The 11,524-nt window shown below is 36.3% G+C and overlaps 1 pseudogene; it reads left to right on the forward strand.

Annotated features, from left to right (window-relative positions):
- On the forward strand, window positions 9,550-10,225 carry TRIM51DP (tripartite motif-containing 51D, pseudogene; annotated as a pseudogene).

Consider the following 11,524-nt stretch of genomic DNA (forward strand, 5'->3'; position numbering starts at 1 on the left):
CAATTGTCAGATTCACCAAAGTTGAAATAAAGGAAAAAATATTAAGAGCAACCAGACAGAAAGGTCGGGTTACCCACAAAGGGAAGCCCATCAGACTAACAGCGGGTCTCCTGCCAGAAACTCTACAACCCAGAAGAGAGTGGGGGCCCACATTCAACATTCTTAAAGAAAAGAATTTTCAACCCAGAATTTCATATCCAGCCAAACTAAGCTTCATAAGAGAAGGAGAAATAAAATCCTTTACAGATGAGCAAATGCTGAGAGACTTTGTCACCACCAGGCCTGCCCTACAAGAGCTCCTGAAGGAAGCACTAAACATGGAAAGGAAAAACCGGTACCACTCACTGAAAAAACATGCCAAAATGTAAATACCGTCAAGGCTAGGAAGAAACCGCATCAACTAACGAGCAAAATAACCAGCTAACATCATAATGACAGGACCAAATTCACACATAACAATATTAACTTTAAATGTAAATGGGCTAAATGCTCCAATTAAAAGACACAGACTGGCAAATTGGATAAAGACTCAAGACCCATCAGAGTGCTGTATTCAGGAAACCCATCTCACATGCAGAGACACACATAGGCTCAAAATAAAGGGATGGAGGAAGATCTACCAAGTAAATGGAAAACAAAAAAAGGCAGGAGTTGCAATCCTAGTCTCTGATAAAACAGACTTTAAACCAACACAGATCAAAAGAGACAAAGAAGGCCATTACATAATGGTAAAGGGATCAATTCAACAAGAAGAGCTAACTATCCTAAATATATATGCACCCAATACAGGAGCACCCAGATTCATAAAGCAAGTCCTTAATGACCTACAAAGAGACTTAGACTCCCACACAATAATAATGGGAGACTTTAACACCCCACTGTCAACATTAGACAGATCAACGAGACAGAAAGTCAACAAGGATGCCCAGGAATTGAACTCAGCTCTGCACCAAGCGGACCTAATAGACATCTACAGAACTCTCCACCCCAAATCAACAGAATATACATTTTTTTCAGCACCACACCACATCTATTCCAAAATTGACCACATACTTGGAAGTAAAGCACTCCTCAGCAAATGTAAAAGAACAGAAATTATAACAAACTGTCTCTCAGACCACAGTGCAATCAAACTAGAACTCAGGACTAAGAAACTCACTCAAAACCACTCAACTACATGGAAACTGAACAACCTGCTCCTGAATGACTACTGGGTACATAACGAAATGAAGGCAGGAATAAAGATGTTCTTTGAAACCACTGAGAACAAAGACTCAACATACCGGAATCTCTGGGACACATTCAAAGCAGTGTGTAGACAGAAATTTATAGCACTAAATGCCCACAAGAGAAAGCAGGAAAGATCCAAAATTGACACCCTAACATCACAACTGAAAGAACTAGAAAAGCAAGAGCAAAAACATTCCAAAGCTAGCAGAAGGCAAGAAATAACTAAGGGCAGAACTGAAGGAAATAGAGACACAAAAAACCCTTCAAAAAAGTAATGAAACCAGGAGCTGGTTTTTTGAAAAGATCAACAAAATTGATAGACCGCTAGCAAGACTAATAAAGAAGAAAAGAGAGAAGAATCAATTAGACACAATAAAAAATGATAAAGGGGTTACCACCAACAATCCCACAGAAATACAGACTACCATCAGAGAATACTACAAACACCTCTATGCAAATAAACTAGAAAATCTAGAAGAAATGGATACATTCCTGGACACATACACTCTCCCAAGACTAAACCAGGAAGAAGTTGAATCTCTGAATAGACCAATAACAGGATCTGAAATTGTGGCAATATTCAATAGCTTACCAACCAAAAAGAGTCCAGGACCAGATGGATTCACAGCCAAATTCTACCAGAGGTACAAGGAGGAGTTGATACCATTCTTTCTGAAACTATTCCAATCAATAGAAAAAGAGGGAATCCTCCCTAACTCATTTTATGAGGCCAGCATCATCCTGATACCAAAGCCTGGCAGAGACACAACAAAAAAAGAGAATTTTAGACCAATATCCTTGATGAACATTGATGCAAAAATCCTCAATAAAATACTGGCAAACCAAATCCAGCAGCACATCAAAAAGCTTATCCACCATGATCAAGTGGGCTTCATCCCTGTGAGGCAAGGCTGGTTCAATATACGCAAATCAATAAATGTAATCCAGCACATAAACAGAATCAAAGACAAAAACTACATGATTATCTCAATAGATGCAGAAAAGGCCTTTGATAAAATTCGACAACACTTCATGCTAAAAACTCTCAATAAATTAGGTATTGATGGGACGTATCTCAAAATAATAAGAGCTATCTATGACAAACCCACAGCCAATGTCACACTGAATGGGCAAAAACTGGAAGCATTCCCTTTGAAAACTGGCACAAGACAGGGATGCCCTCTCTCACCACTCCTATTCAACATAGTGTTGGAAGTTCTGGCCAGGGCAATTAAGCAGGAGAAGGAAATAAAGGGTATTCAATTAGGAAAAGAGGAAATCAAATTGTCCCTGTTTGCAGATGACATGATAGCATACCCAGAAAACCCCATCATCTCAGCCCAAAATCTCCTTAAGCTGATAAGGAAATTCAGTAAAGTCTCAGGATACAAAATCAATGTACAAAAATCACAAGCATTCTTATACACCAATAACAGACAAACAGAGAGCCAAATCATGAGTGAACTCCCATGCACAATTGCTTCAAAGAGCATAAATTACCCAGATATCCAACTTACAAGGGATGTGAGGGACCTCTTCAAGGAGAACTACAAACCACTGCTCAATGAAATAAAAGAGGATACAAACAAATGGAAGAACATTCCATGATCATGGGTGGGAAGAAGCAATATCATGAAAATGGCCATACTGCCCAAGGTAATTTATAGATTCAATGCCATCCCCTTCAAGCTACCATGACTTTCTTCACAGAATTGGAAAAAACTACTTTAAAGTTCATATGGAACCAAAAAGAGCCCACATCACCAAGTCAATCTTAAGCCAAAAAAAAACAAAGCCGGAGGCATCACGTTACCTGACTTCAAACTATACTACAAGGCTACAGTAACCAAAACAGCATGGTACTGGTCCCAAAACAGAGATATAGATCAACGGAACAGAACAGAGCCCTCAGAAATAATGCCACGTATCTACAACCATCTGATCTTTGACAAACCTGACAAAAACAAGCAATGGGGAAAGGATTCCCTATTTAATAAATGGTGCTGGGAAAACTGGCTAGCCATATGTAGAATGCTGAACTGGATACCTTCCTTACTCCTTATACAAAAATTAATTCAAGATGGATTAAAGACTTAAATGTTAGACCTAAAACCATAAAAACACTAGAAGAAAACCTAGGCAATACCATTCAGGACATAGGTATGGGCAAGGACTTCATGTCTAAAACACCAAAAGCAATGGCAACAAAAGCGAAAATTGACAAATGCGATCTAATTAAATGAAAGAGCTTCTGCACAGCAGAAGAAACTACCATCAGACTGAACATGAAACCTACAGAATGTGAGAAAATTTTTGCAACCTACTCGTCTGACAAAGGGCTAATATCCAGAATCTACAATGAACTCAAACAAATTTACAAGAAAAAAAAAACAACCCCATCAAAAGTGGGCAAAGGATATGAACAGACACTTCTCAAAAGAAGACATTTATGCAGCCAAAAAACACATGAAGAAATGCTCATCATCACTGGCCATCAGAGAAATGCAAATCAAAACCACAATGAGATACCATCTCACACCAGTTAGAATGGCGATCATTAAAAAGTCAGGAAACAACAGGTGCTGGAGAGGATGTGGAGAAATAGGAACACTTTTACACTGTTGGTGGGACTATAAACTAGTTCATCCATTGTGGAAGTCAGTGTGGCAATTCCTCAGGGATCTAGAACTAGAAATACCATTTGACCCAGCCATCCCATTACTGGGTATGTACCCGAAGGATTATAAATCATGCTGCTATAAAGACACATGCACACGTATGTTTATTGTGACACTATTCACAATAGCAAAGACTTGGAACCAACCCAAATGTCCAACAACGATAGACTGGATTAAGAAAATGTGGCACATATACACCACGGAATACTATGCAGCCATAAAAAACGATGAGTTCATGTCCTTTGTAGAGACATGGATGAAACTGGAAACCATCATTCTCAGCAAACTATCGCAAGGACAAAAAACCAAACACTGCATGTTCTCACTCATAGGTGGGAATTGAACAATGAGAACACATGGACACAGGAAGGGGAATGTCACACTCCGGCGACTGATGCGGGGTGGGTGTAGGGGGGAGGGATAGCATTAGGAGATATACCGAATGCTAAATAACGAGTTAATGGGTGCAGCACACCAACATGGCACATGTATACATATGTAACAAACCTGCACATTGTGCACATGTACCCTAAAACTTACAGTATAATAATAATAAAAATAAATAAATAAAAATAAAAAACCAATACCAAAACCAAATGGAAAAACCAATCAACCAACCAAATAAACAAATAAAAAACAGCAATAAACCAATTTAGGTTGAATAGAAGATAAAAAATAATTAAAGATACTGGGGCTTTCTATTTTCTCGTGGATTAAATTAACTTCTAGGGATACCCAAACTCTGAACTAACATATAGGAGGATTTTTGTGAAACTTAAAGAGTTGTAATTATATTTCTATGGTGTGATGGTGAATTTTAGGTATCAGTCTGACTGGATTAACCAACACCTAGGGAACAGGTGCAGCATTGTTTCTGGGTGAGTCTGAATAACCTACTCAGTCATCTTTCCCAGAACCTATTACCCAAATGAGTGGATCCCAAAATAGTATTAATGTGAGCCTAGATTCCCAAAATTTCTGATCTTGCCATGTCCTCAAATTAATCTAAATGTAAATGAATCACTCACTATTTTATACGTGTTTGACAACCCAAAATATATTATTGACTTAGTTGGGGAACAGTTATTGGGGCTGTTACCTTGACCATTCCACAAAGTTTTGTGGCTGGTGGATAAAGTAGGAGGGATCTTTGGCCTGGTAGAATCCCTTGGCGGGGCTATACTTTCCCAGTAAAGTAGCATTAGTTATGTGAATGTGTTTTTGGAAACACATCATGGAAATAAAGGTAGGGAGATGGATTTCAGCCATGAGGAAAATACTTACACATGTGAAGAGTCAAAAACCTGAAACCACATTGTGAGTTTGTACCTGAAGTAGCTCCACATCTGGTTTATGGCACATTTTCATCAGCTCCTCATACGTTCCTCTTAAAATCTCCCTCCTATGAGCCATTTTGGCTTTACTTAAATGAAGTTGATGAAAAATATCTTTCCCCTTCTTTTTCAGCATCTCCAAATTATGTTTTTCTTCTTCATGATGAAATGCAGGCATCTTCTGATACTCAGCTCTAATAGCTTCTAGCCTTACATTCACATAACCCTGCAGTGATAATGGGTTAGTCAAAAGGGAAATGTATTTATCCATCTCCTATTAAATCTCACTGATTCCTTTTGTCTCTCGAACATCCAATAGTTTAAACCTCAGTCTTGCCAGTTCTTAGAATCCACAAATTTTTTTCCTTTCCTTTCTTTCTGCATAAAGATCAACGTAGATGTATCTGACCAATTACATTAAATTTATTCAAGATAATGTGTTTTCTAAGATAGTTGGAAATAAAATAAAACACAATTTGAATTTCTCTATTCCAACCCATATTTATGGAAAAGTAAGAACAGTTCGTGCTTAAGAGTTGGAGTATGGAGCTATAGTTACTAGAAAGGAAATAATTATTTCTATTTCTGAGATATGCAACAAGTTGCTTAAACTCATTATATGTGAAATGATGTTAGACTAACATGTCCAGCTAAATACATTTCACCCAGCAAAACCTATCCTAATAAGGCTGCATTTATGATTTGGCCATCTTTGTCTCTCTGAATTCATTTCCTTCCATTCTTTTTCTAAGTCACCCCAATCTGAAACATAGATATCTTTGCGGCGCTTCCGGCCTCCAAATATACACAAACTCAAAATTACTGCATATGCTGTTCACTCCAACTAGAATTTTACACACACACACACACAAACAAACACACATATACATATATACACACTCATGGTCCACATATATATACATACACACTTTCATCCTCCCCTTCCTCTTCAAAGCTTTGTTCAATTTGAATTTTTCAGTGAGTCTTTTTTCTGACCACCCTATTTAAAACTCAGGCACTAATCTCCAGTTTCTGGCCTCAGTTATTCTTTTCTATTCCCTGCTTGATTATTCTCCAACAAAGAACCTACCACACTCGAACACATCATGTATTGCACATATTTGCATGTTGACCATTTTTGCCTCTCTCAATGGGATTGTACAATTTGTGAGGACAAAGATGCTTTCTTTCTTCTATATTAGCAAATTTTCTAATTTAATATTCAACATAGAGTAGGTTCTTATGAAATACTTTTCAACACACTAATATTAGCTATCATACCCTCAAAGTATACAACCACAAAGAGAAAATAATTTTTAATATTTTTCTGAAGTCCTCAGAGTTCTCCTTATATTTAGATACTAGTTCCCATATTTCGGGCATGTTTACATGTCTCCCTCAAGACACAAATCCATATTTCTCACCACTTTTCTCACCATAGGTTATGTGTTATTCAATATTAATTAGTTGAGATTCTTAATTTCATGGTTGCCCTAGATTTCCCCTGTCACTCTTTCTGCCTCAAATTTTCCATGCAATTCCAAATACTACTTGTCCACCAGCATTCAGATTAATGCTGACCCAGGCTCAGAAGGTTCACTTGAGCTTTCCATGACTGCCAAATAACTCTTATGCCCAGCATTTATCAAACCAGCACATATAGAATGCTGCAAGATGGCCCAGTTTCTTGTATCTGTTGGCGTATAGCTACAGCTTTGTATGAAAGCAAACCAGCATGCTTTGGGTAACATCAATGGTTTTGTTAGAAATCCTATCTAACAGTCCTACTATTCTACATAAGAAATGAAACCACCTTTTCTCAATGTTTTCTTTTTTTTTTAAATTGACTCCCAGAAACATTACAGTTTGATATCAAGTGCCTACTTTAAGAGTCACCCATTTGCCCACCATAAGTTCCTGGAGAAGGTAGAAGGTAGAGTAGTACAGGACTACCTTCCAGTGGCTGATTCTGGTGGTTTCCAAGTTCAGGTTTCTCTGATTTTCACAGGGTTTTTCCCATAAAGACTGCATTTTCTTTAAAAGCTTCTCCTGCAAAAGAGCCATAAATTGAAGCACCAGTGAAGACAATAAAGTAACATGCAGACCTTTTCATAGGGAGGGGGCCCAGAATGAGAGACAAATAAGTCCCTCGGAATGGCACTTATTCTATTTCCCTTCTTCTTCAAATCTCAGAGGTTTGAAGCTAAGAAAGCCCAAAAGAGAGATGCTTAAAGGGACTCAGAGTTGGCTTTACCCAATCTCCAAGAAAATAGGCTCACAGGAATTTCATGTGTCCTTTATAGAAATAGATATTCAGAGGCATCACTTGTTGCCATACTCAGTGACTTTATTAAGCAGCTCAATGAAAGTTCCGTAAAACCTAAAAAATAAATAAATAAATGAATAAAACAAAAAATAAATAAATGAAAGAAAAATAAAGGAAGTGAGCATCTCTCTTCCTAATTTCCATTTTATTGCTCAAAAGCCTTCATATTTCAAAGAGAAAATATTACGTTTACTACAGGGTTACAAAGTCAACCAGGGGAAGCCAGAGAGAAAAGGGGAAAGTATTTTAGCAGTGAAAAGTGTTGATGATTTCTAGTTTATATTTAAATATATAATTCTGAAAAATGGATGAAACAAACTATTCGGAATGTTTGAACCGTGTAGGCCTCCAGAGAACCTCAACTATAAAAGGCAGATCTCCCTGCCTGGAGCAAGTTTCAACACCCTGGCCTTGAGAAGGAAGCAACAGATGCAGCAGTCTTAAAAATAACCCCACTTTTCCAGACAGTGATTTCAGGAATTTCTGGTGAGGTCTGGAACCCAGAATTTCATTTTTGAATATTCTCCCAGTCTTAAGACTAATGATCCTTACTAATTTGGAGCAATACAAAGAAAGATCCGAATGAATTCTCAGTCAGAGAGACTTTACCATCGTGCTTGAAAATCAGGAACTGTGAATAAGAATGAATTTGAAAAAGAAAATGATAATATTGGAATTAGCAAATGTGTGGGTTAAAGGGCTTCTCATGAAATGTCTTTTAAATAAAAGTGGTGACTTTTATGTATTTTTTTTGGCTGTAGATGTGGTAGCTGTATCTTTCTCCTTGCAGGTATGAGTCCCTGCTGCTGCAAGTGTCTGAGCCTGTGAATCCAGAGCTCAGTGCAGGGCCCATCACTGGACTGCTGGACAGGCTCAGTGGATTCAGAGGTAAGTGTCAGCCCATTGGCAGAATTCCCACAGTGTATTACTTCTTGTTAGAATCATGGGGGTAATATTTTACCCTTCATCAAATCTTTATTTCATTTCAGCAGGAAGTGAACCATATGATGATGCAACCTTTTTACATCCCTGTTTCTATTTATAGTCCAATTTATAACCTGAAGAGTAAAACATAGTGAAAAACAAATATGTTCTGGGCTCACATGGATAGAGTTATATATTGGGTAAATGGAATGACATAAGAAATAAAAAATTGAATAAATGGAACAATGCTCAGAAGGAAGTGTAATAATCCAAGGTTACATAAACATTTACATTTCTTTACTGTATTTCATTTGAATTGTTAAACATATTTCATTGGGGAATAGAGTTCACTGAAGTTTGTTGGAGTATTTGTACTTTCTTACAATAAATACATATTATTGATATAATGTAAAATTTGGACTTAACATGTAAAAAGAAAGAAGAAATTATTATGTAAATAGGAAGTAAAAATGGAAATGATAATTTCAGTTTAGTTACAACATGAAGAGCTACATGTAAAATCTAAAATTCGGTTTCAGTCTAGAGCTAGCAGGGATGTCCGCAAAGTGACTGGTAAAATTTTTTGCAAAAATCTGCCTTAAGTTACAACTTATAATTTGAACATATGGACTTTTATCCAGTTATCTGGAGTGGTGCTTGAGTAAGCTAAAATCTTCTCATTCTTGTCAAAATTGTATCACTAGTATTTAAGAACAAGAAATATTTTAATAATAATGACCTTGATAGCTAAAGGGCATTCAGGGCATAAAATATTTCACTTTTACATTGGAGATTGGATTGAAACAGGCTGGTCTTATATTTGACTCTCAATTTTTAAGTTTTCAATAAATTTTCAATGTCTGTTTTTAGGGTTTTGTTCTACCTATAGAGAATATTAATCATCCTTATAGTTTATTAAATATTGTAGTCACAATTCTCCTGTCCTTGTAACTTCCAATATCTTGGTAAAGTAAACTCTTGGTAGAATAATTTTCCCTAATGAATTCTAATTTCTATTAATTACATGTATCTATATTTTTTTTAAAATTATTTTTGCAGTTGATTTTACTCTGCAGCCTGAAAGAGTCAATAGTCATATCTTCCTGTATGGAGATTTGAGAAGCATGAATGTTGGATGTGACCCTCAAGATGATCCCGATATCACTGCAAAATCTGAATGTTTTCTTGTATTGGGGGGCTCAGGCTTTCACATCTGGCAAATATTATTGGGAGGTGCACGTGGGGGATTCTTGGAATTGGGCTTTTGGTGTCTGTAACAATTATTGGAAAGAGAAGAGACAGAATGACAAGATAGATGGAGAGGAAGGACTCTTTCTTCTTGGATGTGTTAAGGAGGACACTCACTGCAGTCTCTTTACCACCACCCCACTTGTGGTGCAATATGTTCCAAGACCTACCAGCACAGTGGGATTATTCCTGGATTGTGAAGGTAGAACCATGAGCTTTGTTGATGTTGATCAAAGTTCCCTGATATACACCATCCCTAATTGCTCCTGCTCACCTCCACTCATGGCCTATCTTTTGCTGTAGTCACTTCTGACCAGAGAAAAGTCAGAAATGGGTCTATATGCTCTGGGAACCTGTTTATCCCAGAAAGCCCTGTTTTTCGCACCTCATCAAACAGGACAAATAAGTTATATTTAATGTCCTTAGTTGCATTCTAATGTCATCAAAACTCATTTATAGTGTTTCTATTAAATATGGTGAAAACACTGCAACCATGTGTATTGGTTCCTTTTTAAATCATTTTTGGAAAATCATTACCCATGATGTATGGCATAGACTATATTCTCTGGTTTTTAATTATTTCTGAATGTCACAAAGTGAAATAATAGATGACAGAGTTGTCTAAATGAAGTTAAAATCAATGGAAGAGAGTAGAGATCTTGGGCTTCATGAAATAGTTTGGAGTAAAAAGACTCAATGGTAACCTGCAAATATTTTCTTTCTCTTCATCTAACAATATTATACTTATCCATGTGTTTATTTGTGAACCTATATTTTGAGGTAATTTTATTTGACCTCCTATGCTGTGCTTATCTTTGTAAATCTCATCTTATATACAAAATGCTCATGCATTATTAGAGTGCTATTCTACAGTGAAATTTACAAGGGGATCAGGACAATGCTGGATCAATTTAATATTCAAATGGACAAAACTGAATACTGACACCTACCTCAAACCATACACAGTGCATTTCCACATGGATTCATGTTCTGAAGGTGAAGGGAACACAATAAAATATTCTCACACAGAAAGATTTCCTAACCAGGACAAAAAAGGAACAATTAAGAAGAAAAATGTAGTTACTTTATATCAAAAATGATGACTTCTGTGTTTCAAAATATACCATCCAAGAATTAAAATGCAAACCAAGAGTGGAGAAAAATATTTATCCCAACATATATGCAATAAAATACAATAAAGGTGATTAATGAAGGTAATAAATAAAAGAAAATGAACCCAATATAATATTGGGAAAATATTTGAACAGGAACTTCATAAAATTGGAGGCATGAATATCTGGACAAATATGAAAAAGGGATTACTTTTATTAGTCCTCAGAATAATAAAAATTAATCCATAAGTTGAACCACAGGCCTCCATAAAAAGTAGCAAAATGTAAAAACACATAATATTGTGTGTTGTGAAAGATAAAGAATCAATGAAAGTAATTCATGCCTGGAGGGATGTAAGCTGAAATACTTTTTGGCGAACTGACTATGAGCATTCCTTATGGGCTAGATATTCTAATTCTAAAATATATTCCTCAGACTGCCTATGTGTATTTCAAGATAAACACAATGTTGATCATTGCAGCAATTTTTATAGTAGCTCAAATTGGAGACAAAATAAATATTCAACAACAGTAGAATTGCTAAATAAATTGTGATCTCATCGTACAAAATAATTTTACAAAACAGAGATAACACTGAAATGCAACAAATTAATGAATCTCAAAGAGAAGTTAAGAAAAGAATTGAAACACACAAATGTTATATTACAGTGT

The sequence above is a fragment of the Homo sapiens genome, chromosome 11 (genome assembly GCF_000001405.40).
Source record: "Homo sapiens chromosome 11, GRCh38.p14 Primary Assembly".
Classification (NCBI taxonomy): domain Eukaryota; kingdom Metazoa; phylum Chordata; class Mammalia; order Primates; family Hominidae; genus Homo; species Homo sapiens.